Source organism: Homo sapiens, chromosome 4 (genome assembly GCF_000001405.40).
Source record: "Homo sapiens chromosome 4, GRCh38.p14 Primary Assembly".
In the NCBI taxonomy this organism is placed as follows: Eukaryota; Metazoa; Chordata; class Mammalia; order Primates; family Hominidae; genus Homo; species Homo sapiens.
Window position 1 is genome coordinate 146,213,078 of NC_000004.12, and position 27,997 is coordinate 146,241,074.

General features: G+C 43.9%; 1 protein-coding gene across 2 annotated transcripts, besides 1 other annotated feature; it reads left to right on the forward strand.

Moving 5' to 3' along the window:
* The first annotated feature begins 1,460 nt into the window (after window positions 1–1,460).
* Window positions 1,461–19,190, forward strand: REELD1 (reeler domain containing 1). Of its 2 annotated transcripts, NM_001354631.1 has the most exons (8): window positions 1,461–1,617; window positions 1,999–2,121; window positions 3,865–4,083; window positions 9,280–9,502; window positions 11,368–11,531; window positions 15,133–15,445; window positions 15,948–16,011; window positions 16,828–19,190. In NM_001354631.1, the coding sequence occupies exons 3-8, from the start codon at window positions 3,876–3,878 to the stop codon at window positions 17,434–17,436; spliced, it is 1,581 nt and encodes a 526-aa protein (NP_001341560.1). In that variant the 5' UTR covers window positions 1,461–1,617; window positions 1,999–2,121; window positions 3,865–3,875; the 3' UTR covers window positions 17,437–19,190. The 2 variants fall into 2 exon arrangements, with proteins under 2 accessions (NP_001341560.1, NP_001358000.1); NM_001371071.1 differs by lacking the exon at window positions 1,999–2,121.
* Window positions 9,007–10,206: an enhancer, noted in NCBI's record as "MED14-independent group 3 enhancer chr4:147143236-147144435 (GRCh37/hg19 assembly coordinates)". NCBI's record gives its function as "activates an origin of replication core promoter dependent on BRD2, BRD4, P300/CBP and CDK7 cofactors, and independent of MED14, by STARR-seq in HCT116 cells {active_cell/tissue: HCT116}" and the evidence as "EXISTENCE:reporter gene assay evidence [ECO:0000049][PMID:35650434]".

The following is a 27,997-nucleotide window of genomic DNA, read 5'->3' on the forward strand; positions in this document are numbered from 1 at the left end:
ATTTTCAACAAGAAATATTACATGAGCAAATGGCAGGATTATTTATTGAGCCATGCAGGTGCGCTCTCTCTACCTTTGCACTCCTCTCCTCATTCTAATTGGTAGTTGGGCCTTTTGAGAATCCGTATATCCAGGGAGTTTGTGTTTCAGGGGCAAAGCTGAGGTGTTGGAGATTACCACTCTACCTGTGGTAGGTGGATTATGCCAGGTGGCCCAGGGTAATGGGGTGAGAGTAAAAAAAAAAAGGAGAGGAGGGACACTTTTGTCTCTAAGACTGGGATAGGAGCAGAGTGGAGTGGAGAAGAGGTTAGCCACTCTCCTGCTAGGGGCAGAGATCTGTGTCAGGACCCAGTGGAGGGGGTGGGAAGAACCCAGGCCACAGCCTTGCTGAAGACCTGAGCCCCTTTTTGGCATAGAAGCCTTCCAACTAACAGTCTTCAAGTGACCACATGAGCTCTGAAAACTATCATAACAGCAGCCATGGAAGGAATGTATCCTAATTTTCTAGACCTCCCAGAATTTCTCATGACTCAGTGGGAGATTGAGATTGCCTCCAATCCTAGTGGGATAGAAGCTTAGAGAAACCAAATTGAATTTGTTTGCTTTTGTTCTGTGTGTGGGGAATACTGGTATCCTAGGCCAAGGAAGCCCAATTTCCCTTGGTGTTTATAGGATAGATAGTCTCATTTACACTTGCAACAAAAGGCTTAGCAACCTGGTCCCTAAGCCAGTGCCTTGCCTATTCAGTCACTCATAGCTTTAGTTTTTTCTGAGTGGAGACAAGGCCTAACAGTCAGAACATTGCTCTCTCTGCAGCCCCCTACTCCACATCACCCAGGACTATCAATCCTAGGATTCTCTCTTGGACGCCTTGCATTCAAACAGCCACCAAATCCTACCTCCACCTGATCTCCTGATCTCCCAAATCCATTCCTCTCTCTTTTTCTTCATTGTTAATGTTGCAAGCTTCTAGGTGATGCTGGTGTTGCACTCTAGGGACCACACATTGAGGAACACTGATCTATAGGCTCTCTGGTATTATCAGGTGTCTCAGCAGATTCTTAGATGAATGAAAATGTGAACTCCAGCTTTAGTGCAATTGATACGGGAGGTGCCTATGCCACGTGTTATTTTTTTGTACCAAACGTTGCTCTTGGGCTAACGTATCAATTCTATTTCACCAAGAGTAACTTCAGTCCACACTGACTCAAGAAGCCAAGAATGCTGAGATGCATTTCATTCAAACATTCTCCCCTTTGCAGGGAGATCAAGATGGAGGCATCCAGCTTCTGCCAAGGATGTCAGTGCCAGTCCTGTGCAAAACCAGTTCCGGTTCTTTCTAGTTCTTCACGCAGGCTTGAACAATGATGTGACTGTAAACCGTGTGTGTGTGTGTGTGTGTGTGTGTGTGTGTATGTGTGTGCTAATACGATTTAGGTTGGATTTGGACACTGAGGAACAGTTCCTGGAGATGCTGAGGATTAGTGGTAGCAGCTGTTATTCTCCCCATTAGAGGAAAAACTGAAAGGAGAAGAAAATACTTATGTTTAAGGGATGTGTTTGCAACTCTGCGGGAGGAAGCCATTCTATCAAGCCTGAAGAAAACTGTGTTCCTAGGTAAGTGGATGTTTTTATTTATTTATTTTTGTAGAGACAAGGTCTCCCTGTGATGCGCAGGCTGGTTTTGAACTTCTGGCTTCAAGTGATCTTCCTGCCTCGGCCTCCCAAAGTGCTGGGATTACGGGTGTGAGCCACCATGCTCAGCTCCAAGTGGATAGTTTTCAGGGTTCAGGTAGACAAGATGCTAGTGGGAAAGAAGACACAGTGAAACCTAAGGCAGGAGGGTGGGAGGTGGGGCTGTGGCCGTAGTCTGTGAGTCCAGGCACTCACTCCCCTTCCCTTGTAGGCAACTGTGTCTGATCTGCCTTTGGAAAGACCACTTGCCATCAGCAAGGACTTGAGGAGCATTTTCATTTCATTTCTTTCTTTTCTTTTAAGAGACAGGGTCTTGCTCTGTACCCAGGCTGGAGTGTAGTGATGTGATCATAACTCACTGCAGCCTCGACCTCCTGGATTCAAGTGATCCTCCTGCCTCAGCCTCCTGAGCAACTGGAACTATAGGTGCGCACCACCATGCCCAGCATTCAAGGGGCATTTTGTATGTGGCCCTTATGAAAGAAAATGAGAAGAACCCTGAGCCCCCTTGACTGAGAATGTGCTTTTACACAGTTCATCTTCATTATCTCCTAATGTGTCTGAGAAGCTGTAGCCATGGTTCCTTGTAGTATGGAGATGTGTGACTTTGGTGCTTCATAGAAAACAAACTTAGAAAAGAAAGGCATTGTCTGAAGGACTCTTATGTCTAAGAAATTTGAGGTATAGATCATATTCCTGTCTTCTTTTAGCTTGTGAATGTAAAAGGTGGTGTTGTGTGAAGAGACAATGGGAGTGGAGGACACTTGATTATTTGGTTTATGGATTATTTCCTTAGTCTATTGTTCTGATAGCTAGTTTTACTACATTTTCAGGATTTTATTTTCACCTTTTAAAACCAGCTGACTACAGGGGAGGGCATTTTTTTTTTTTTTTTTTTGCCTTGCATTGTTCCTTAGGTCAAAAAATTAGCCAAACTTCTAAAATGCCTGTGTGCAGGACTATAAAAAAAAAAACAGAACTTTTTTTTTTTTTTTTGAGATAGAGTCTCGCTCTTTTGCCCAGGCTGGAGTGCAATGGCATGATCTCAGCTCACTGCAACCTTGGTCTCCCAGGTTCAAGCAATTCTCCTGCCTCAGCCTCCCGAGTAGCTGGGACTATAGGCACATGCCACCACACCCAGCTAATTTTTTGTATTTTAGTAAAGACAGGGTTTCACCGTATTGCCCAGGCTGGTCTTGAACTCCTGTGCTCACGCAATCCACCTGCCTCGGCCTCCCAAAGTGCTAGGATTACAGGCGTGAGCCACCGCACCTGGCCTAAAACAGAACTGTTAAAAAATGCCTGTGATAATCCTAAATATTTATGTAGGCAGATTTTCATCTGCCTTGTTTGCTATCTCTCATTTTATTTTTGTCATCTTCTTTTACATTGCCAAATTTTAATTCTTCCTCTTGATGGGAATTAGAGGTAGTAAACAAAAATAAAATTTACTCTATAAATGCTATTTTATTCAATCATTGTATTCTATTCCTGAGCCAAAATTGTTATCAGTATGTTTAAGAAGTTATAGAATAAATTGAGTATTTCTTTCTCTGCTCATCTTCTTTACTAAAAGTAGTGAAATAGCTAAAAACAGCCAAAGAAAGGGCAAAGAGATATCAAAGCATTGCCAGCTTAACAGTCACTTCTAAATAATTGATAGTTGGTAGATGTTTTGTAGCACTTAACTTGGTAATTTTCAATTGCAACAGAGATAAGATGCTCAGCCAAGCCATCCCATGCCATGCTGCCTGACCATGGTGGTGTATTGAGTGTCTACTTCAGATAATGTATCAGAGGCCACACCGCCTTTGGGTACCAGTCAGCTTGCAAGGAGCTCACGCTAGGATACAAACATTTTCTGGTTTTATTTCTTTGACTCAATAATTAAAGCCTCTCTTTTGAACAACAACAAAAAAAGCAGTCTGGTCTTATGAGAAAATTACAAGAACAGAAGTTTTTAAAAAGGTGTTTGGAAATGAAACACTTCCTATAGCCTGGCATTTCCTTTTGATCTTGGCCTTGAACATTAGCAATCCTGGGAGGCTGCACTAAAAGCATCTCAGGTACAGAGGCAGTGTGGGGTTCAGGTTAGTCACATCCCGAGAAGACTTTATGTCGTTTTCCTAAATAACGTCTGGACTGAAGCTGCTGTTTGTCATGATACAGGAGAGGGCAGGATGAGGATGCAGGCTGCCCTCGTGGGCTGGGCTTGTACCACCCTCTGCCTGGCTTCCTGCTCATCTGCCTTTTCCCATGGTGCCAGCACGGTGGCCTGTGATGACATGCAGCCCAAGCACATCCAAGCCCAGCCTCAGCACCAGGACAGCCACCACATCACCATCCACACCCACAGGACTTCCTATGCACCAGGTGACAAGATTCCAGGTATGTACCAGAGAGGCTTAGAGAGACTCCGAGGAGCCCCAGAGCCCCCATGGACCTTCCAGTTTGTGTTTGTCCCAGTCAGAAGCTTCCTGGACTAAATTTGGCTTAATCCCTTTTTTTTGTTTTTTGTAGAGATGGAGTCTCACTGTGTTGCCCTGGCTGGTCTGAAACTCCTGGGCTTAAGTGATCCTCCCACCTCAGGCTCCCAAGAAGCTGGGACTACAGGCACATGCCACTGTGCCCTGCTAATTTTTTGTATTTTTTTTAGAGACAGGGTCTTTGTATGTTGCCCAGTCTGGTCTCGAGCTCCTGGGCTCAAGTGAACCTCCTGATTCAGCCTCCAAAAGTGCTGGGATTACAGGCACAAGCTACCATGCCCAGCCTGGCTTAATCTTAAGAAGCAATTATCAGGTTAAAAATAAGCATAAAATATTTGTGTCATAAAAACCACATGATAACTAATCTCTGTATTAATTGTGATCTGTATAAGAAGACACAAATATTATTATAGATAATTATTTTGTCCTTACCATAAGATATAAATGTATCTTATTACGGACACAAATATAGTTACTCTGAACAACCTTCATGTATCATCTATGTGTGTGAAATACACTTTTTTCTCATTATTTAAAACTAAAATTCATCCATCAACAGACACTTTGGTGAGATGATGGATATTTTAATTTGCTTGACTATAGTAACCATTTCACTATGTGTAAGTATATCAAAACATCATGTTGTATACTTTAAATATATACAATTTGACATTTTTTAAATTAAAATATTGGGGGATGAAAAAATCATTTCCTGTTCTTTTAGTTTAGGTGCCTATAAAAGCAGGGAAAGAACGTGAGCGCAGGTGGTTTATGTGAGAGATCATCCCAGGAAACACAGGTGAGGAAGAGGGAAAGGGAGCTGGGCAAGAGGAGATGCCAGTCAAGGGCGTGCAACTGAGCAGGTCTCTGCTGTGGGCAACCGAGGTGCATTCCAGTGGGGACCCTCTGAGAAGCCATGTGAAACACCTCTGAATCATCTCTCAGGAAGATGCAGGGGCAGGGAACTTACCAGTTTCGGGTTGCCCCCACCAGGGGTGTTTCTACCTCCATGCCCCGCCCCCACTCCCCAAACTCACACACACTCTTCAGAGTCCACAGCTTACCTTGGACCAAGCTTGGAAGTGGCAGTGAGGGACAGCAGAGAAGGAAGCTACAGATACTTCAGATGCCACGAAGTGTAGGCAGAGAACTATGCACCCAAGGTGAGCTCCAACACATCAGCAACTTTTGCCCTAAACCCCTCTTGATTTTTGCTGATTCTTTTGATAGGAACTAAAGGTGATAAACAAAAATGAAATTTACTCTATAAATATTGTTTTACCCATTCATTTCGCTCTCTTGAGAAGTGTGAAAAAACATGGGTGGATAGTATATGAGTTCAACATCAATATACTCCCCAATATACTGAATTAAGTCTATTCTAATAGAGCTTCCCAAACTTTGTCACATCATGACACAGAAAGTGAGTCTGTGTATTTAGCACACCGGGGCAAATGCAAGAGGCTCCCCAAGGAAGGCCACTTCTTTGGGGGCTCCATCCACCCTAGAGTGCATCCAGCCCCTCCCAGCATGAAGGGATTGGTATGTCAGTATCCTAGTGTTCTGTGGCTAGGGGAATAACAACGGTAAGAATCAAAACACTATGTCAGCCAGGCATGGTGGCTCATGCCTGTAATCCCAGCACTTTGGGAGGCCAAGGTGAGTGGATCACTTGAGCTCAGGAGTTTGAGACCAGACTGGGCAACATGGCAAAACCCTGTCCCTACAAAAAAAATACAGAAATTAGCCAGGCATGGTGGCTTGTACCCTGTGTTCCCAGCTACACTGGAGGCTGAGGTGGGAGGATTGCTTGAGCCTAGGAGGCAGAGGTTGCAGTGAACTGAGATAGCCCCACTGCACTCCAGCCTGGGTGACAGTGACAAAGTGAGACTCTGTCTCAAACAAACAAACAAACCCCAAACCAAAAAACCACTATGTCAGTGAGAAAAATCTGCAGAAATAACTAAAAATATTGTGATACCTAAATTCTGAAGGTATCCTGAGGGAAACACAATTGGATTGTAACTGGAACCAAGACAGCATATGTAATAAATGACTTGACAGAGTGCCTCATGGATTCAATGAGAGTCAGTTATTACTGACTTACGTTGCAAGTATACTGTTTTCTTGCCGGGATCTGTGAGCTCCTTGAAGGTAAGGACCATGTTATCCTGCTCATAGATACATACTCAACTCCTAGCATAGTGCTTGGTGTTCAATAGTTCTAAATATTTGTTCAAATGTTTATTAAGAAAAGTTCAAATGTGTGGAAAATAAAACAATCCTAGACACCAAGCTGCATTTAGCAAACTTATAAAGGTCTGACCCTGATTTTAGCCACTCATTCCCTTGAACATGAGTGGCTTTTTTAAAAAAAATTTTAAATAGCTTGAAGATATTACATGCTTTAAAAATGTTAGAATACTATCAAAAGGTAGAAAATTAAAAGTACTTTTCCTTCTCTGGCTCTGAACACTCAATTTGATTCCCCAGAGGTAACCTTTGTTAAGTTTCTTGCACCTCTTTTCAGAAGTTTTCCATGCATTTAAGCATATGTGAGTGAGATCTCAAATTAATATAATCTTAAGCAGACACAAATTAAATGTCTGTTTAATGTTTATATTTTTTACCTAACAATCAGACTGATATATTTTATTGGATACAGAATTTTGTTTTTTTGTTTGTTTTTTTGTTTGTTTTTTTAAGACAGAGTCTCACTCTGTCACCCAGGTTGGAGCGCAGTGGCGCAATCTTGGCTCACTGTAAGATCCACCTTCTGGGTCATGCCATTCTCCTGCCTCAGCCTCCCCAGTAGCTGGGACTACAGGCACCCACCACCACACCTGGCTAATTTTTTTGTTTTGTATTTTTAGTACAGATGGGGTTTCACTGTGTTAGCCAGGGTGGTCTCAATCTTCTAACCTCGTGATCCACCCGCCTCAGCCTCCCAAAGTGCTGGGGTTACAGGCGTGAGCCACCGTGCCCAGCCACAGAGCTTGTTTTTAATGATTTCATGACAGTCCATTGTCTAGAGGTCGCATGATTGATTTAACCAGTTTCTTATTTATGGGTATTTACTTTTTAAATTTTTTTCATAAATGGTTTTGATGGATATCTTTATTCATATGTCTTTGCTCACTGTATGCATCAAGATTGTTTTAGTTCCAAGTATCAGAAAAACTGATTAACAGAAACTTAATGAATAAAGACACTTAATTTTCTCTCTTAAGTGTGGAGGCACAGTTTCTGCTTTGGGTGAAGCCATTCAATGACATCATCTAGATCCTAAGATTTTTCGATTTTCCTGCTCCGCCATCATCAGCGAGTTGGGATTTCATTCCTTTGACATCGCACAGTTTCAGGATGAGTGCCATGGTTTTAGGCCTCATACTGGGATGACAGCTGAAATAAAGGCCTTACGTGAAAAGATTGATCCTTAGACATTAGCTGTTCTCTCAGCAGATCTGGCCTCATTGGCCAGAATTCTATCTGGTGAAGGGGAACAGAATCACCAACACTGGTTTTAGTCTAATCACAGTTCATCCCCTGGGGAAAAGGAGAGGCCTAACTTCCCCGAAGACAGGTGGTCTCCACTTCCACATGAATGTAACATCTGGGTTCTGTTAGCAGAACCATCTGTTCTGCTAGCAGGGAATAAGCGGACAATCGCTGTTGGGTATTGGACATCAGTGTTTGCCATATTTATTTGTGCAAGTTTGTCAGTGGGGAAAATTCCTAGATGCAAAATTTCTAGATCAAAGAGTAATGATTTTTGGAGGGCATTTCTTTTATTGTGTTTATAAACATATATCATAAACTTTACCATTATAGCTGTACAGAGCTCAGTGGCATTAAGCGCATTCACATTGTTGTACAACCATCATCACTATCCATTTCCAGAACTTTTCCATCATCCCAGATGGACACTCTGTACTGGCCATCCTTCCCTATGCCCAGACCCAGATAACTTTAAATCTTCTTTCCATCTCTGTTAGTTTGACTGCTCTAGGTACCTCACATAAGTGGAATAATGCAATATTTGTCATCTTGGGTCTGGCTTTATTTTACTTACTATGTTTTCAGGGCTAACTGATAAGGTAGCATGTATCAGAGGGGTAACTGCATTTTAAATGTGGAAGATGTTGTCAGGTTACACCACAAAAAGTTGGATGGTTTATAGTTCCAGCACTAGTGAATGAATGCCCTAGTTTTTCCATAGTCTTATCAAGACTGCTTACAACCACACATTTTAACATTTGCTAATATGAAAGGTATAAAATAATATCTCATGTATAATTGCTTTAAAAATTATTACTGAGCAGCCAGATGCGGTGGCTCACGCCTGTAATACCAGCACTTTGGGAGGCCGAGGAGGGCGGATCACAAGGTCAAGAGATCGAGACCACCCTGGCCAACATGATGAAACCCTGTCTCTACTGAAAATACAAAAATTAGCTGGGCGTGGTGGTGCGTGCCTGTACTCCCAGCTACTCGAGAGGCTGAGGCAGGAGAATCGCCTGAACCCAGGAGGCAGAGGTTGCAGTGAGCTGAGATCGTGCCACTGCACTGCAGCCTGGTGACGGAGCGAGACTCTGTCTCAAAAAAAAAAAATTATTACTAAGCTTTTTTTATTTCTGTTTGTATCCTTTCATTATTTTGAGGCAGTCATCTTTTTATGAATTCACCATGACAATGAATATTTGTCTGTTTTATGTCTTACAAATACTTTTTTTTGGAAAATAATTTTTTTTAATCATCTGTCCAGGGTTCACCTAAACTCATATTTTAAAAAAGTATAGCACACTTTACTCATCTTTTCCTTTATGGCAGCTGGGTTTTGCTCAGAGAGGTATTTCTAAATCCAATATTTATAAAAAGAAAAAAAGTTTCTAGTTATTTTTTATTTCATTTTCGCATAACTTTGATCCAAATGGAATTTATTTTGGTGTGAAATAGGACTTCAACTTTACCCCCCTCTAATGAATTGTTCACTTTCTGGGGGCTGATCTTAAGCTTTTAGTTTTGAAAAAAGCTGCATAAAATCACCACACGGAACTAAGTCACACGTGTTCATGTTGAACGGGTGTTTTTGTTGCAGTGACAGTGAGAAGCAGTCGTGATTTCATGGGATTTCTCCTTCAGGCTCGAAGAGTGTCCGATCATCAAATCGCTGGCACTTTCGTTCTCATTCCTCCTCATTCCAAACTGATGACTTGTTTTCAAGAGGCTGATGCAGTCACCCACTCTGACAAGTCCCTGAAGAGAAACCTGTCATTCGTGTGGAAGGCCCCAGCCCAGCCTGTGGGGGACATTAAGTTCCTGTAAGAGAGTGAAGTGCTGTTTCTTAGAAACTGAGCCTTCTACTTTGGAGAGAGGGGAGCTTCTCTTTGCCCTGACTTCATATTCCCTTTCCCCCTCCTTATGTGGCCACCTTATAGCAAGGACAGGGTCATGGATGCTGCCTAAACTGGAGAGCCTATGCAGAGGGAAACTAAAAAAAATATTGCCCCCAAACTCATCCCTTCATCACTGTCCATGGGCCTAGAGTGTGTTATCTCCCTGCCTCCCCAGGCACAGGTAAATCTTGGCCAACCTCTCTAGGAGTTTCTGACCAGAGGACAGAATGGCTGGCGGTGGGGAAGGCAGGAGAGAGCCAAGAAAGAGAGAAACAGGCAGATGGACAAATGGACACGTCCCTGGGCCCAGGAAAAGCTTCTTGAGGCTCTGTGCCTTGGCTTGTTTTCTATAAATGGGCATAACCACAGCACCTCCCTCAGGGTTGTATATGGATGAGAGAGCCTACGTTCGCTCAGAAGAGTTCCTGGCAACAGTAAGCACTTTAAAAGCATCATTAGTACTCAAAATGAGGTACTTGTTTTGTCATTCTTTTCAGACACTTGCATTTACCAAGAAAGATAATTTTTCTCTTTCGGGAAAGGGTGTGTGTTTCTGTTTCTCTTCCCCACACCCTCCTAAATATGAAGGAGACTGCGCCTGCAGGCAGAGGTAGTCCAGCTCACATGCTCCCCTCCAGGACTCCCCTCTGCTCTGGGGAGCAGTGGGAGAGGAGGTTGGTGGCCCTAGCTTGTGGTGTCCCTTCTCCCCCACCTCCTGGTGGCACAGGGCAGCAGACAGGACAGCAAGAAGGGAAACACGTGCCTTAGGATTTTTCCTCTTTGGAAGGCCCAGGGCCCGCTTACCTGTGGGTGTGCCCAGCTTCTGCCCTTGGCTTTGGTTCTTACGCAGCGCAGAGGGTGTCTGCTTCTTGAAGTCCTTAAACCTGTACAGTCACCTTTCTTTCTCAAAGCACCTCAATTCCTATTTTTGGATGTACCATCATAGTTGCTGCGTGCCACATAGCAAGTAGTGTAGAAGCTATGATCTCCATTTGACAGAAAAAACGAGGTAAGTCACTTGATGAGACACCTGTCCCAAGTCACCCTGTGATCTCCCACCTCCGGGAACGCTTGCGCACGATAATGTCCGCCGAGTCTGGAAACCGCATGTTGGGGGCCTGAACTATGACGCTCACTGCGTCTCGAGCCTCTGGGTGACTTCGGCCAAATTAATCACCTTGTTATGTCTGCCTCCTGAATACTTAAAGTGGGAAAAATGGCACTTGCCAATAATCCCTCCTTTACTGAAATATTTGGAAGAACAAATGGCATAATGTTTGTGAATGTGATTTTTACTGAAGAATTGCTTTTCAAAAAATTATTTAGAATATTAAGGATTTATCTCTAATTTCCAATAGAATCTACAATAAGGGTAGACATGTACAATTATACAACAGAATTATAAGATCTTCAAATCATGACATAATAACTATATCAGGAATGGCTAATAGTAACATTGATGATAAAACCTTTTATTGGAGTCTAAACAGTTTGAGGAGATACTTTTTAGTTAAAATGAGATTTTTAGTGACTGTATTTATTCAAGAGGACTATTGATTTGTTCATATCATCTCCTATTCTAATTATTTGCAACTATGGGGTTTTTGTTTTTAAAAAGAATGAAGTCACTCAAAGAGTAATAATATAATCTCTCTCTCTCATTCTGCTATTTATTTAGTTTTGTTCCTCTTTATCTGTTAGTGTGTTCTCTCTTTTCTGTGAGGCTGGCCTGAGTTATTATTTAAAGGAAACTAAATCCGTGAACTGCTCTGCTCTTTCTCTTTCCCCAGTTTATCAGTAGTCCAGTCATATTTTGTTTACTGGGCAAGGATTGAATCATCTGTTGTGTCTCAACAGACACATAGCAGCGCCCATTCTGACGACCGCATGGAGCCCAGATTGCTGATGCCAAACCTTCACCAGAGGCTGGGCGATGTTGAAGGAGCTGCTCCAGGTACAGCTTGTCATTGTATTTGCCAGGCTGGTTGTCATCATTATTTTTACAGTTATCTATTTTCACTTAAAAGTTACTACTGCCAGTTTCCTGTTCCTGCAAAACAAGCAATAAACACCTGCCGTGGCCAACTGCAGCAGTTCTTGGGGATGTGATAACGCAGCAGTGAGAGGGAGGGAACGCTTGCAGTTGCTTTGTTTGTTGCAGCAAACACACTTTGTCTGGCTCAACCTAACACATTAAGTCAGGCCCCAGGGTGGACAGTGAGAGCTGTGCTGCAATACCAAAAAACAGCATACACCTCTTCCCCCAACATTTACTAGTCCTCACAATATTTCTGCTGTTTTCCTTAGTCCCCTGAAGCTACGCAGGGAGCACAAAAAAGAAATGAGCTTTTCTTCGTCTTTTCTCATAAAAACGCATCCAGTTTTTATTGTTACTTTTCATAGTAGGTAGGTGGCTCTTTGCAACCTGGGTTGGAGAACAGAATCAGGAATCACTGTTTCAATGGGAAGGGATTTTTCCTTGCTCACTACATGGCTTTATATTCCATTAGTCCATGAACTCCTGAAAAAAGAAAAGAAAAGCAACAAAACAAAGGAAAACCACTAGCCAGCTAGAGGCTGTTTGACCTATCTGAAAATCCCTGGTGGTATGGAACTCCTTTTTGTTGTTTATTTCTAGTTAAGTGCTATGAACACAAGCACTCGTAAAAGCATCCAGACACATGCACACAAGACCCTACCCTTAATCCATTCATTCTCCTCTTCGCTTATTCTTTCCTTTACTCTTTGCTAATATGTTAAGGCCAGAATCCAATCAGAATCCCTGCCTCTTCTCAGTCTAGCAGACCCAGGTACAGAGACAGTGGGGACCACCCTCCATTCTCTGCCTTTGCCCCACAACCTTTGTCTTCTTCTATTACCCAGCACAACTCCTCCAACCTTCCCACCAAGACACTCCTAAAAGCAGAGTAAAGATCTCGGAGCCTGAGACCATGGCCTGGAGAAGACCCTGCACCCCTGACATATGTTTGAAATCTCATGTTTTATTTTATGAATGATGCAAGTATCATGTTTTAATCCCAAGTATAACCATGTTTGTTTGAACATGAATATGAATAAAAGTGAAGCTTCAGGAAGAAGTGTCATGTGGAGCCTTGGGCCTTTCTATGCCTGACTCCGCTGGAAACCTTGTCCGCTGGGGGTTGCAGCCTCCAGCCCAAGCAGTTTACAGGGTAACCTCCTCATTACACTGCCCACATTCCTCTCCTTCTGGCCCCAGCCTGTCTTCCCCATTTGTTCCACTACCCAAACCCTAGTGATTCCCAAAGGAAAAAGAAACATGTATGTATGCTTGTGCACGCATGTATGTATTTATGTGCATGCGTGTGTGCATGTGTGTGTGTATGTATTCTGGGAAGTTTGTCTTTGTACAGTTAAGAAATCTATTTCACCTTATTTCATCTAATAAAGTGAAATAGGTTTCTTAACTGTACAAAGAATTCGTAGGCAAGTATAAATTATAAATTTTCAAAATTGGGAAATTAGTATATTGTATATCTGAAACTTATCTCCCAATAGACCAAGACACTTTGAGTCCTCCTCCACCCCATTAGGTATGGTCTACTTTTATATTTTAGTGCCTTCCCTTCTGACACTTCCTCAAACTGGACTGTTCCACACAACAGTTCTCTGCGTCTTTCAAGGCACAGTTCAAATATCTCCTTTGTGAAACTTTTCCTTATACTTCTTGGTAGGCAAGTATCTTAGTCTATTCCAGCTGCTATGACAAAACATCCTAGACTGAATAATTTATAAACAATAGAAATGTATTGCCTACATTCTGGAGGTTGGGAAGTCCAAGATGAAGGCACCATCAGAATAAGTGTCTGGTGAGGGAGGGATGATCTGTGCCTCAACAATGGTGCGTTCTTGCTGTCTTCACATGGTGGAAGGGGTGAACAAGCTCCCTCAGTCCCCTTTTATAAGGCTACTAATCCCATTCATAAGGGCTCCACCCTCATGACTTAAGCACCTGCTAAAAACCCCACCTCTTTACACTATTGCATTGGGGATTTGATTTCAACATATGAATTTTGAGGGGGGCACATTAAGACCATAGCGGCAAATATAATTGCTTCCTTAGCTCTGGTATTAATTGATTAATTAATTAATTTTGAGACAGAATCTCTCTCTGCTACCCAGGCTGGAGTGCAGTGATGCAGTCTCAGCTCACTACAACCTCCACCTCCTGGGTTCAAACGATTCTCCTGCCTCAGCCTCCAAGTAGCTTGGAATTACAGGCATGCACCACTGCACCCTGCTAACTTTGGTATTTTTAGTAGAGAGACAGGGTTTCCCCACGTTGGCCAGGCTGGTCTCGAACTCCTGACCTTAGGTGATCTACTTGCCTTGGCTTCCCAAAGTGCTGGGATTACAGGCGCGAGCGCCCGGCCTCTTTATTAATTTAGGTAGTTTGACATGTAAGGGTGTCTCTTCCCAGTTTTGAGTTCAGGGACACCAATTACAAGTCTGCATTATGTTTGCATCTCCAACAACTATAACAATACCCAGCACACAGCGGGTCTGCAGGAAATATCCAAATGCTCTTAGAGTTCAGGCAGGAATTTGAAACTATCAGTTTGCCATGTTCTGTATGTCTGGGCTAGGCTGCTTTATTCTTCACCTCAACGTTTTTGAGTGTTAAAAACATTGGAGCAAAGGGGTACCTCCTCCACCCCCATAAAGAACCTGGAGCCCTGGCCAGAGAAACTTCTGCCAACACTGTTTTGGTCAATGCCATCATGTCATCCTCATCATCATTGTGGTAAACCCTCTGTGCATGTTGCCTGTGTACCTGTGTGCCAGGCACCTGCTTCACGCTTCCACCTCAATGAGTTCATGTCAACCCCTCAGCAATCCTATGCTGGCCTCATTTTGCAAATGAAGAAACTAATGCTCTGGGAGGACTTCCCCAAAGCCAGAAATTAGTGGACGACTGAACCCAGAAAAGAATCTGACTCTAAAACCTGCACTTGCTTGCTTGCTGCTCCATGTGAAGCTCTTTCTCATGCTCTGGGCTGTCAGGTTAGCCAGTCACAAATGGGAAATTAGATGGTGGAGGGCATTGAAGGGCAGTGATCTCGTCTCTTCTCATAGCAGATGTTCAAGTCATTATCACCAGAGAAAGAAACTTTGAGTGTTAATATTAGGGCAAGAAAGATCTAGGGCTTTGAAAAGTCTTGATTTGTGGGATTTCACTCCTTTTTCTAGCTAGAAGCAGTTTTTGGCAGAGGTGAAATAAATATGGTGGTCACAGTGCTTTCTGTGTTCCCTGAATGGTGGCTGTTAAGAAGGTACAAGCCCAGACAGGCCAGGGACTCACTCTCTAAAAAGATATAAGCCCTTGCGTGGTCAGGGGCTTGTATGATCAGGCAGGTCATCTTTATGCTGACACTTTTAAGTGCCTCACACTTAATGGTCTCTCCTTGAGGCATATTAGAGTCACTGCTGTTTACCCCTGATCATAGCTGTTTGTAACAATCGATGCGGGGAAAATGCTCTCACTCACTCTGCGCTGTCTTTGGACCTCTGCTTAGCTCCCAGGACCCCCATCACTCTTCCACAGCAGCACACACATGTCTTTGCTGTTGCCCTTCCTGGAGCTGCAGAGGAGGACAACCTAGATCCTGTTCCTGCCAGTATTTGGGTGACAAAGTTTCCTGGGGATGCAGAGACTCTGTCCCAACCATCTTCACACACAGCCACTGAAGGCAGCATCAACCAGCAACCCAGCGGGGACAGCAATCCCACCCTAGAGCCGTCCCTGGAGGTCCACAGGCTGGAGAGGCTCGTGGCCCTCAAGAGAGTCTCCTCAGAGAGCTTTGCTTCCAGCCTTAGCACCCATCACAGGTAAGGGTGATGGGTGGGCCATTCAGGACAGGTGATGGGACTAGGATGAACACTGGAGTGCATCATGTGGAGTCTGACAAAAAAGATCTCAGCCATATTTTTTCTTAAGTGTGTGAAAAACCCAGGATGTAGCAGGGCTACTTGTCAGAAGGACTGGGTATGTTAATTACCCAGGGAAATTATTTTCTTGGATGGGGTGAGATCTCTGAGGTGCTGTTATAAGTAAAACTTTAAAAGTGACTTTTTATATTTTAAATATATTTATAATAACAACATAGAAATGTATATTTTATATAAAATAATAAGCGACAGCATTTGGTGAGTTCTTTGCCACCATTCTCACTCATCTCTCCCCTTCCTCTTCTCTATGGTTCCTGACTCCAAAATCAGAAGTTTTTCAAGTGAATCTGTTGCCATCTGCATACACAACTGTGGTAGGAAACATTGCTTTTTGGTCCAAAACTTAATGACCTGTTTTCAGCCCTTCCATTCTTCCCTTTAGAACTCAGGATGATCCCAGCTTTGATTCACTGGAAACTTGCCTGTCCTCAGATGGGGGTGAACAGGTAAGAACCTGAACTGTGAAGTGGGCTTGTGACTGGTATTTTGATCCTAGAATGGTCAGTTTCAGGCTGGGAAATCAGAGCTATTAGACTAGTAGCCAAAGTTAGAGAGAAGAAGGCAAAGTACAATATACACACAGTGTCTTTCTACTAATCAATACCTTTCCATTATATGCAGTGTCTCTGAAGTGATCGGCAATTGTAGAAATTGATGTTTTAGTGACTTGTCTTCTCACTTAGCCACAGTTAATAATTACTCTCTTCTCTCCTCCTCTATCCCTCCTTCATAACATTGACCTCAAAATGCCATGTATGGTCCCAGAAGTTAGATCAATGGTCAATATAAAATATAAATGCCCACTGATTTACTATTCCTTTGAAGTCTTAGAAGGAACACAAAATAAAACAAGGTGTAATGTTCTTACTTACATTTCTCAGAACCTACAGTGAGGTTAAATGGTCCCTCTTGCATGGGTCCTATCATAAGAAGACACACTCAAATCTCTCAGCCATAGAAGATGATGCAATCACCCATTGATATTTTGGTTTGGAAGCCACTTAAAGGACCCTAAGCTTATTCTTGTAACTGGCTTCCTTGTTCTCTGTGGGGTTTCCATTAGCTACCCCATCCCCATCAATAACAAGTGCATTTGTATCTAGTTGGGCATTTTACTTTGAGCTCCTTTAGTAGCAAGAAAGAGACTGGGTTTTTAGCTGCCTCCTGGGAGTCTTTAAGGAACCCCAGTTAGTTACAAAGTTCAGTGGCAGCTTAGGAGGAAGACCAGTACCTTTGACTCTTTTTTCCCTTTGTTTTTCTAGGACAAGACGAAGGCCTCTAACAGGACCGTGACACAGCCTCCTCTGTCCACCGTCCAGCTTACCTATCCCCAGTGCCTCTGGTCCTCTGAAACTTTCACAGGGAATGGGGTCAGGGCAAGCAACCCAATCCCTGTCCTCCAGACCTCTGGCACTTCTGGGCTACCTGCTGCTGGTGACCAGTCAGAGGCATCCAGGGCCTCTGCCAGCTTCTTACCTCAGTCAAAGCACAAGGAGCTCAGAGCAGGGAAGGGAAATGGAGAGGGTGGAGTGGGATACCCTCGGCAGACCAACCCACGGCCTGACATTGGGCTAGAGGGAGCCCAGGCCCCTCTGGGTATCCAGCTCAGAACTCCTCAGCTGGGAATTCTGCTTTGCCTGTCAGCCACCCTGGGCATGGCCCTGGCCGCTGGCCTTCGCTACCTGCACACCCAGTATTGCCACCAGCAGACAGAAGTGTCTTTCAGTGAGCCCGCTTCGGATGCTGTTGCCAGGAGCAACAGTGGTGAGACTGTGCACGTCAGGAAGATTGGGGAGAACAGTTTTGTTTTGGTTCAAGCAGAGTACAACTGGATCACTCCTTCTGTGGGTAGCAAGAAAACAGTCCTCTGAGAAGACTGTCACCCCAGACCTCTCAGTGGCCCTCCTTGGGCCCTGGAGAGTGTCCCAGACAGAGCAGAGATAATGAGAATAACTGATGAAGACAGGGACTCATTGTGCCTCTGTCAATGTGCAGTTAGTGGAGGAACCCGGGAGAGGACACTTTCATCAACAGAGGGAGTTATTCCTGAGCTTTGTTGTCTTAACATCTGTAATTGGGCTTCCTTCTTTCTTTTTGCAATTAGACGTTCTGTTTGAAGACTTAAACTCAACACAATGAATATTGTATAACCCGCTCATTAACTAGACCCCTGTGGCCACTAAGCTTCCTCTGTTGTGGTAAGGAAGCCATAGAAATAAAAATACTGTCCCTCCTTAGTGTCTCATCTCTTCTAACTCTTTGGGGAAAAAAAGTAATGTTGGGTTGTGTCTCCTGCAAGAAAAAGAACTGCAGCTCTCACTTTGCCTTCCTAAACCACCCCCAAAGAAGTTTTCTTTTCAAAACTGAATTCAACAACTTGCTAGAGTTCTGATTTGGATGACTAGGTGAATGCAAGGGTATTTGGTCTTCTGGGCAACTCAGCAGCCTGGCAAATCCGCCATGGAAATTGATCCAAAGTCAGGAAAGTTTTTGAGAGCTTGATTGAACACATCTTCAGGAAAACATATACATGCAACACAAGGCCGTAAACACCAGAGTGGGGTAAGAAAGCCTTTTCATCAGGTGTAAATGGATCTGAGACCTCCCATCCATTTACACTTGATGGAAACATTCGTGTATCCCAACAGCTAGCAGACATAGTGCCTTTTGCCAAAGGTCAGGCTGAAAAACATTATTATACCAGCATAGTTTGAAGAACAGTCTTTACTTGTCTTTTCAGGGAATATCAGGAAGAAAGCTTCATGGATGAAGGTCATCTACCTGATCTCATAACCTTATGAAGATTGCTTTGATTTAACAGTGGCTCCACAGATACTATCTGAGGTCAAAACAACAGATCTGAATATAACTCTTAAATATGCTCACCTAATATAGCACATAGGAATTAGCTGCCTTTTCAGAGTGAAACCTATTATAGAGTCATCATTTTAATGCAGAAACAAAAATCACTACAAATTCGGAAAGGATATTTGTTTATTGAACACCTAATTCATACGGGAACTGTGCTAAGTAGTTTGCGTATATCTTCACATTTAACTCTCACAAAAATTTAATGAGGAATAAGTTCAGTAGCTTTCCAAGGAGAATGAGGCTTTCCTTATACCTCAATTTAACAATTTTTAAAAATTGAGTGTTCAGGAAAGAGACAGCTCCTGCCTTTTCCACACCTCGCTTTAGCTCATTGGTCATCAATTCCAAGACTCTCTCCTCCTGGATTCTGGGCTAGGTAGCTCTGTTCCCTGGCTTCAGCCATTAGATGCATGGAGACCTAGGTAATTTGTGCATTCACAAATGAAAGTGTTCTAGGAATACTGTGGAAAGAAACAAAAGTACTGTAGTCTAATAAGGCCACAGATATCCCTTCTGTATGTCTAGCCCTCTAAAAGACGTTCTCCCCAAGAAGCAAACAAGGGACCCCATTAGTGGAGAGCTTTCATCTGGCCACATCACATCAGAGCCAGATGCACCATGTATGCAAACTTTTTTAGATCTTTTCTGTCTAAGAGAGAATTTTCCTATGTAAACAGACTGTTTTGCTTGTCTATTGATGTGAACAAATTACCTCTAGGCTTAGTAGTTGAAAATAAAATCACCACCAACACCACCATTTATCATCTTTCATGATTCTGGGGTTGCCTGGGCTCAGCTGGGCAGTTCTTCTGCTCTCAGTGTTAATGAATGGGATGGGGCAGCCTAGTTGACTCCCTCACATGGCTTGCAGTTGGTGTTGGCTGCCAGCTAAGGGCCCAAATGGGTCTGCTGAAGAATGTGGGAAGCAATATGGTTCTGTTCTTTGCGTCTTCTTATGCCATATGGTGGCTGAGTTCCAAGAGGAAGTGTGCCAAGCACACAAAACCAAAGGCTGCATATCTCTTAAGACCTAGCCCTTGGAAGTTGTCATAGTGAGTCACAGGACCAACCCTCATTATTCAAAAGGAAGGGCAACAGATTTCACTTTTTGATGGGAGAAGTGACAGAGGATTTGCAGCCATCTTTAATTCACTTGCCCTTCTGCTTAGACTGCTGATCTGCCATGGGGGGATTGTGTGAGACTTGAAGAGATGCCATTCATCCCTGGGTGATGAGGGAGGTGAGAGGAGTCTCCAGATTTCAGGGTCCGGTATTTTTCTCTTCTCCAGTTGGACTTCCAGCTTATACAAAACAGTAAAGTGATGCAGAAGGGTTAGCCAGGTCTCTGAGCCTCATCTTCCTCATCAGAGAAAAGGACATCACAAAATCATTCAGCTCTTTTGGTTGATGTAAAGATTGAATGCATACACAATATTTAGCTATCCATAACCAAACTGACATACCATTGTCATTAATATTATCTTGAAGCTGCAACACTGTCTTTACGTGTAGCCCATTTAGAGAAATTCTGTGATCATGAAAAAAAGTCACTTTCTTTTCTTTTTTTTTTTTTTTTTTGAGACGGAGTCCCGCTCTTTAGCCCAGGCCGGATTGCAGTGGCACAATCTCGGCTCACTGCAAGCTCCGCCTCCCAGGTTCATGCCATTCTCCTGCCTCAGCCTCCCGAGTAGCTGGGACTACAGGCGCCCGCCACCGCGCCCGGCTAATTTTTTGTATTTTTAGTAGAGACGGGGTTTCACCGTGTTAGCCAAGATGGTCTCGATCTCCTGACCTTGTGATCCGCCCGCCTCGGCCTCCCAAAGTGCTGGGATTACAGGCGTGAGCCACCGAAGTCACTTTCTTTCTATGACAAATTCTCCTCTTCTTCCTTTTTTTTTTTTTTTTTTCTGAGATGGAGTCTTGCTCTGTCACCAGGCTGGAGTGCAGTGGTGCAATCTCAGCTCACTGCAACCTCTGCCTCCTGTGTTCAAGCAATTCTCTTGCCTCAGCCTCCTGAGTAGCTGGGACTACAGGCACGCACCACCATGTCTAGCTAATTTTTGTATTTTTAGTAGAGACGGATTTTCATCATGTTGGTCAAGATGGTCTCTATCTCTTAACCTTGTGATCCGTCCACCTGGGCCTCCCAAAGTGCTGGGATTACAGGCGTGAGCCACTGCACCCGGCTGACAACTTCTCTTGAAGCAAACTTCCCACCTCACTTCCCTGGCCCAGTCACTTGAAGGCCACACGAGTTGTCATGGTAGTCACTGGCTACAATTCCTACCACGTATCAGATAATTTTTTGCTGCAGCATTCTGACTAGACTCTTTTTTGGCCAGGGCAGCTGGAGTCCATGGGCCTATACTCAAACTACATAAGTGATCGTGAAGGTCCTCTAAGCTTCACAGAAGCCCCAGAGGGGAATGAGTAGGAAGTGTTAACTTAACCTGAAAGCTCTTACTAAAGCATAAAGCCATTAAAAGTAAAAAGAAAAAAAAAAAAAAAGAAGGGAAAGGACTCAAATACAACATCTTAAAATAGTTTTTGTGTTTTGTAGGAACAGCTACAAAATTGCTCAGCCAACCTCTTCTTGGAGGAAAGAAGGTATGCGGCTAAACACATATTTGAGGGAAAATGATGGATAAATAATTGCTGAAAACTTATTATATTTTAAACTAATGCTTTTATATCTATAGTGCTAATTTAATAACTACACACCATGGGTAGTGGTAGCCTTAATCTTTTTATATTCAGAGACTATTTTTGATATTTTCAATTGATTTTTTCCCATAGATAGAATTTTAGTAAAGTACAACTTAACATTTTACTGTAGCTTGGCTTGCTGTCCCACTGTTGAGGCTATCTGCATTAATTTGCTGTTATGCTGTTTGTTTTCCTTAAAAAAAAAAATTAATTAGCAAAAAAAAAAAAGTCAGCAAACCAGTAAATATTTAGACATGGGTCACACTTTATTTGCAAGTTATCTGGGAAGGGCTGGCAATTTATGAATAAATTTCAGATGATGGCCATGTCCTCTCCCTGTTTCAGACTTCCAGTATTAATCAGTGATCCTAGCCTTTCTGGGACACAGACTGCGTGTTCTGATTTCATTTCACTCCAGCCTATCCCTCTTCTAAAAGTAGCAAGAAACTTCTTTTATTCAAGTGAAATTAATTTGCATTAACTTGTTTTATTAAACTTGAGAACTTCTCCAGGCTTACAGTATTCTGAGCACTCTGCTCCATCTGCCCTGGCATGGTGCAAAACCAGGGGTGGTCATCTCTGGCTCCTGGTTTAGCATATCAGGAAGACATTAGTGATAAAAGGAAGACTAGTGGTTTGGTTGTTTATTCTGCTCTTTAAATTCACAAAGAAAATGGGAGCGTTTTGAGACTCCTGTTCTACCCATGACGATTGAGGCCACCAGGACAACTACAGCCTGTCAGATGTATTCCAGAGATTTTTTGCTTTCAAAACATAAATCAGTTCATGTTGCTGTCTCTGAATTCCCTAATGGTTTTCCATCTCTCTCAGAATAAAATATGGACATCTGATTGGGCTATGTCCTGCGAGAGCTGGCCCTCTGACATTGCCCTCTTCCTGTGTGTTCACTGTGCTGCTCTGAGCTCTCCGGGAAGCTCTGTGCAGCTCCCTTGCTCTCCTGTTGTCTGGAACCCTGTTCCCCCAGGCATCCAGCCTTCAGAGCTTTCTTCTAGAGCTGCCTCAGCAGAGAGCCTTCTCCTGACCATTGCAACCTCTAATCAACCTAGCCTCCTACACTGTTTAATAATATTGATAGCACTTATAACCACTTGAGTCATATATTTATCTGTGTTTGTTTATTTTCTGCCTTCCCCAGACACAGATGCTTCATAAAGACAAGGACTTTGTTTTGTTCACTGCTATATTCCTAGTACATAGCTTGGAGTCCACTATTCCTAGTACATAGTAAGTAATCAGTAGGTATGTGTTACATTTGTAAGTGAAAAGTTCAATACCCGTGTTACTATCACCAGCTCTTAGTGTAGATTAAAGTTGAATACGTGGCACCTTGGGTAGCTCCAGAACACTTGGGAATCAGGCAATGTAAGTTTCCCTCCTAGAGGTGAATTAAAAAGAGTTCTATGGGTGACTGTCCTCAGTGCAGGAAATGCTCTTATGTCTCAGATCCAAGGCTCCAGGGAGTTCTGGGCAGGGAGGAACCGAGAATAGACTTCCCTCTCGATCTGCGCTGGGGCAGAAGGAAGGCTGACTGGAGTCTTTCCAACTCAGAAGCTCCGCATGACAGCTTTTCTTCAGGTTACATCATGTGGCGCAGGGTTTCTCAACCTCCGTGCTGTCACCATCTGGGGTTGGATATTGCTTATTTTGGGGGCTGTCCTCTGCCTTGCCGGATGGTTAGCAGCATCCCTGGCCTCTACTCAGTGCCAGTGGCTCCCTCCTCCCCAGTTGTAAAACCAAAATTGCCTCCAGACATTGACAAAGGTCCCCTGGAGGGCAAAATCACCCCTGTTGGGGAGCCACCGGTCTAGGAAACAAGGCATGTGACTATAGGCCCCAGGCTGAAGTGGCATTTCCCACATGATTTCCACACCCAGGGATGGAGTGGGCAGTACTGAGATGGAGAACTACAGGGCTTACAAATTGGAGTGCCTTTAAAGGTCTTCTGACTCAGTGGTTTTTAAAACCAAGTCAGTAAACCAAAAAAAAACTGAATGCTCTAGGGGAGGTTTGGGGATATCTTCCCCTCCTGTTTCCTTCTCCCAGCATCCCTTTTGCCCATTGCCTCAGAAACTCAGGGCTCCAGCAAACAGGGATTGAAAACCATGAACAACGCCTTCTTCAGATGAGGAGAACAAGGCCACGGAGAGGTCAGTCCAACAACAAGCAAGTCTAGGGGAGTCCTCAGATTCCTTCGACCCACCCTGACTTCCAAATCCGCTTTTCCTTCCACCATACTTGGCGGCTCATTTATTCTCTTGGATCATGTTAGGTATTGTAAATATTTCAACAGATCCAGAGAGAGCCAGGAATCAAGCAGAAAAATGGCCTGGAGTGATCACTTTACAGCCACCCTGGGAATGAGGAGGATGATAGGACACTGGAGACTGGTCAGTCATAGTGAGTGAGGCCTGGGCATGACCTGCCAGGCTGTGACAGGGCCCCAGCAGTGGGCCAAAGGGAGGAGAGACAGCAAGGGAGGGAGGGACTGACATTATCCCAGGTAGGAGCTCACCACGGCAAGAAGATGTTTCTCATTGGTTTACAGCCACCATCTTGAACTCACTGCCTTCCTTTCTGTGGGCTCTGCAATTTCCTTCCTTCAGATGGCATCTTGGGAGCATCGTCCCCCCTCACCTGATGATAGATGTCTTCTGCAAAGTGTTTTGTTGCTTTATATAGGAAAGAGGGTGCCTGGAAATACATTCTATTGGATATTAAAGACTGTATTTCCCTGATTTATTGTCAAGCTACGCATGGTTGTCTGAGAGGCAAGGAACCAATGGGATATACATTTTGACTAATGATTAATTATTATATCGAAAGTGATATTTTCCTATCAACTGATAGGCAGGAAAAATAGACTAGAGCTTGCTAGGTTAGCACCATGGGTCACAGATGTTGCCTCTGCATTTTCAGATTATATTATCCATTACAGGCGGCACCTTCTCATTTAAAAATATAATTTGTTGTTCTCCCAGACGAAAAAAGAAGCTGACATTTCACATGCAAGCCAAAGATTAGAATCACTGCACAGGGCCGCATATGGAAGTACATTAGGATGTGGTGTCCCTGAATCAAGGACACCAGGCGGCCAGTGCTGGGAGAGATGTAGAAGGCAGTGACTTCTGATCTTTATTATGCAAATGTGCAGCCCCCGAGCCAGGCTGTTTAACCTCATCAGGGGAAATGTCGCTGATCATTTCAAGCTCCAAATGTAGCACAAGCATTAGTGCTAGTATGTTATTATTGTTATTATTATGATTTGGCGGGCATATGGAAGCCCAAGCCCTCTGATTTAAGCTCAGTCCCTCCTTGCTCAGACCCTCTGGGATTGGACATAAACTCCTCTTGATATTAAACAAACAAATATTTTTTTCTTTCTCTTTGTAATGCTTGTTGGTGAAACATTTTGCAGGCCTGGTTGTCTGCCAAACATGGGTGAGGATGGTGAGAGCTTCATGAAATGCAATCTCTACCCCAGAGGCTTAGTGACAGGGTGCCTTCTCTCTCCTCCAGGGCTCTATGCCCCAGTGGCAGATGCATCTAGAGGAAGCATAAAGAATGGAGTAGGGGCAGGAGAAAGGATGGATCGGGGAGTGGAAATGGTAAGGAGGATTGAAAAGAGAGATGCTGCATGGGCTTAGAAGGGGAAATTTCCCTTATTCCCACTTGCGGGTCATTGCTCTCTCAGAGCCATAAAGGAAACTGAGGACCTGCTGAACAGGCAACAGAGAAGTAATTAAACGAGAAGGGGGAAAGTCAAAGACAGCTGATTAGTGGCCCAGGGTAGTTGAATGCAAAGGTTGAGCATCTTTGAAATCCAGATCGCTAGACCTCAGTTGGCAAGGTCCGACTTTTAGAAGAAATTAAGTAAATAAAAGTGACATATTAAGCTGTAGTAACATTCTAGAGGAAAAAAAAAGCAAGCAGTACACATCCCTTTTTCCTCCGCCAGCCTGGAACAAGGAGGGAGATTGGTCATTGCACAACTGGAAAGACTAGAAACTTCTCCAGAGACTCTTAGAGTCCTTCTCATCTAGCCCCAAGTCCTCTTCATATAAACACTGTTGCAGGGATCCCAGTCCAAGTGAATCAGTTTTTGTGAGCGGAATCCACATCCCTATTTTTTAAGGCTTTCCAGGAGATTCTAAAGTGCAGCCAGGGCTGAGGCTGTGGCGCTGGATGCTGATGAACAGAAACTCCACAAGAGCCAGAATTCTTGAATGTTTATTTTCTGCTGTATACCCCAGCATCTAGCACAGACTCTGGCTTGTAGTAGAAATGGAATATAGATTTACTAAATGAAAGGGCAATGGGGGAAACAAGGCATTTCTGTAACAGATAAAAGTATGGCACTTTGGGAAGCCAAGGTGGGTGGATCACCTGAGGTCAGGAGTTCAAGACCAGCCTGACCAATATGATGAAACCCTGTCTCTACTAAAAATATAAAAATTAGCCAGGCATGGTGGCATGCGCCTGTAGTCCCAGCTACTCAGGAGGCTGAGGCAGGAGAATTGCTTGAACCTGGGAGGTGGAGGTTGCAGTGAGCCAAGATTGTGCCACTGCTCTCCAGCCTGGGTGACAGAGCGAGATTCTGTCTAAAAAAAAAAAAAAAGTTTGTACATAATTAGGCCATTCAAAGCATCTGTGGAGGGGGTCACCTCCCAGAGCCCTGCTGCCAGTCACTTTTGTCCCTCATTGTTCTGGCAGCAGTAGACACACAGCATGTTCCCAGTTCTTCCTGGGTGTAAAGGGGAAGTTGTATCTGTGGAACTAGCAATTGTCTACAGAGAGCGGCCTCAGGGAGGCAGAATGATTCCCTTTCCATGGGCAGGGCTTCCTGAAGGCCTCCTTTGTGTCCTGGAGGAAACCCCTTTGCCCTATCTCCATCCTTCTCTGGCACTGGTCAACACTGACTTGGAGAGGTTGAACATCAAGAAATGAAACTGTCAAAAGGGAGGGCTTAGGCTGAAAGGACCAAATGAAACACATGCTAAGCTGGAGACTCAACTGGAACCTGAATGAATTGGGATCACTCAGAAATGTTGATTGAGCACTCACCAAGTGACCAGATTTGCACTGGAGGTTGAGGAGACAAAAGGAAGTAAGGTTGGGACCCTGCCTCTAAGGAGTGGGCCAGTGGCAGGGTGGCAAAATCATCCGATGTCAAGGCTGGCCCTAGAGCTGACACTAAGCCAAATGTTAGTCCAGCCTCCCACCTCCACCCATCTCTTTCCTCTCTTCCAAGCATCAGAAGTCCCTTATCCAAAAAAGAATCTGCTCTTAATGGAAGCCCAAGATGTAAATCCAACCAAAGCACAGCTACTCTGCATAGGAGGAAAGTCCTGTTCTCTCACCTGTCCCTCCATTATCCCCCTCAAAAATGCTTTCCTTAAGACTTTGGAGGCTGAGACCCCAGGCTGCACGCCTTTGCTCTGAATAGCCTAATATTTCTGGATTCAGGTTGTTTAGTTGACACTAAATCAACAACGCTATCACCCAAGGAGTTGATCTAATTTTCCTCCTCTGGCTTCCTGGGATAGACGGTGTGACAATATGGCTTTCAAAGGAGAGGAGGCTTAAGCCACCAGTTTTTACTATCTGCACGGAGCCAGCTGTGGGTTGTTGTCCTTCTCCACCAGTGGCTGAGGAACAGTCAAGGGCCCCTTTTGGTGGCCTTCTCTTCCTCCTTGCTCCTGCTCAGGGTCCAGTCAAAGATGAGTTTTGTGAAAATGAAGGATGTCCTTCTCCCAGAGTCAGGAGCCCTGTCCCTTTAGCTGATGGATGAGAGATGTCTCATGAAAGAAAGCTGAAGAGGAACCCTGGGTGTGGACTTAGGTCTGAGTTAGTTTGATGGAGACCTCAGTATCTCATCGCGACATAGGCCGAGAGGGGCTGAAATCAGCTGCCTTTCTTCTGTACCACTTACTGTTGAGAGCTAGTAAAACAATGTATTTGGTTGGAGCTGTAGCCCGTCTGCCACCTCAGTCCCTACTCTGTACTCTAGCAAGAGCCCTTCAGCCAGATGCTGAGAGACCAGTGGAGCAGCGTACCATTAACCCATGTGAGACAGTGCTGTGTGTCTGCATAAAACCCTGAGCTAAGAGAGATGTTGGGATTTCATTGAGTGTGTCTCCCTGTTTCTAGTAAGCACCATGGCATAGGAAAAGAAAATATGTGGGAGTAAGACAGGCCTTAATTCAAATCTTGACAGTGCTCCTGATGAACTCAACAACTTTTTTCTTTTTTTGAGATGGAGTCTCGCTCTGTGGCCCAGGCTGGAGTGCAGTGATGTGATCTCAGTTCACTGCAACCTCTGCCTCCTAGGTTCAAACAATTCTCCATTCTCAGCCTTCTGAGTAGCTAGGACTATAGGCACAAGCCACTAACACACAGCTAATTTTTGTATTTTTCGTAGAGACGGAGTTTCACCATGTTGCCCAGGCTGGTCTCGAACTCCTGAGCTCAAAGCGGCCCATCTGCCTTGGCCTCCCAAAGTGCTGGGATTACAGGAGTGAGCCATCCAGCAAATTCAACAACTTTTGGCAAGTACTTTCATATCCTTTACACTCATTTTTCACATCTATAAAATGGGGATGACATTATTTACTTGGCAGATTTGTTGTGAGCAGTAGATCTTAGAAGCTCAGCTGTTTGAAATCTTGTGAAATTATTATTTCTATTGGGCTCTGAAGTCTTTGAAAGGACAGATGGTATTTTCTTTATCTTTGTATACTTAACCTCTAATATAGTAAATATCTGGCACATGGTAGCTGCTTAAATGTAACTTTTCAGAAAACTCTGCCTCAATACTTTATCTAAATAGGTATCCCC

Excerpts from the sequence above, each read along its gene's own strand:
- REELD1 (NM_001354631.1), top strand. The coding sequence starts at position 3,876 with ATGAGGATGCAGGCTGCCCTCGTGGGCTGGGCTTGTACCACCCTCTGC. Across the intron at positions 9,503-11,367 it reads GTGGGGGACATTAAGTTCCT|TTTATCAGTAGTCCAGTCAT; the intron begins GTAAGAGAGTGA and ends CTCTTTCCCCAG. Across the intron at positions 15,446-15,947 it reads AGCCTTAGCACCCATCACAG|AACTCAGGATGATCCCAGCT; the intron begins GTAAGGGTGATG and ends TCTTCCCTTTAG.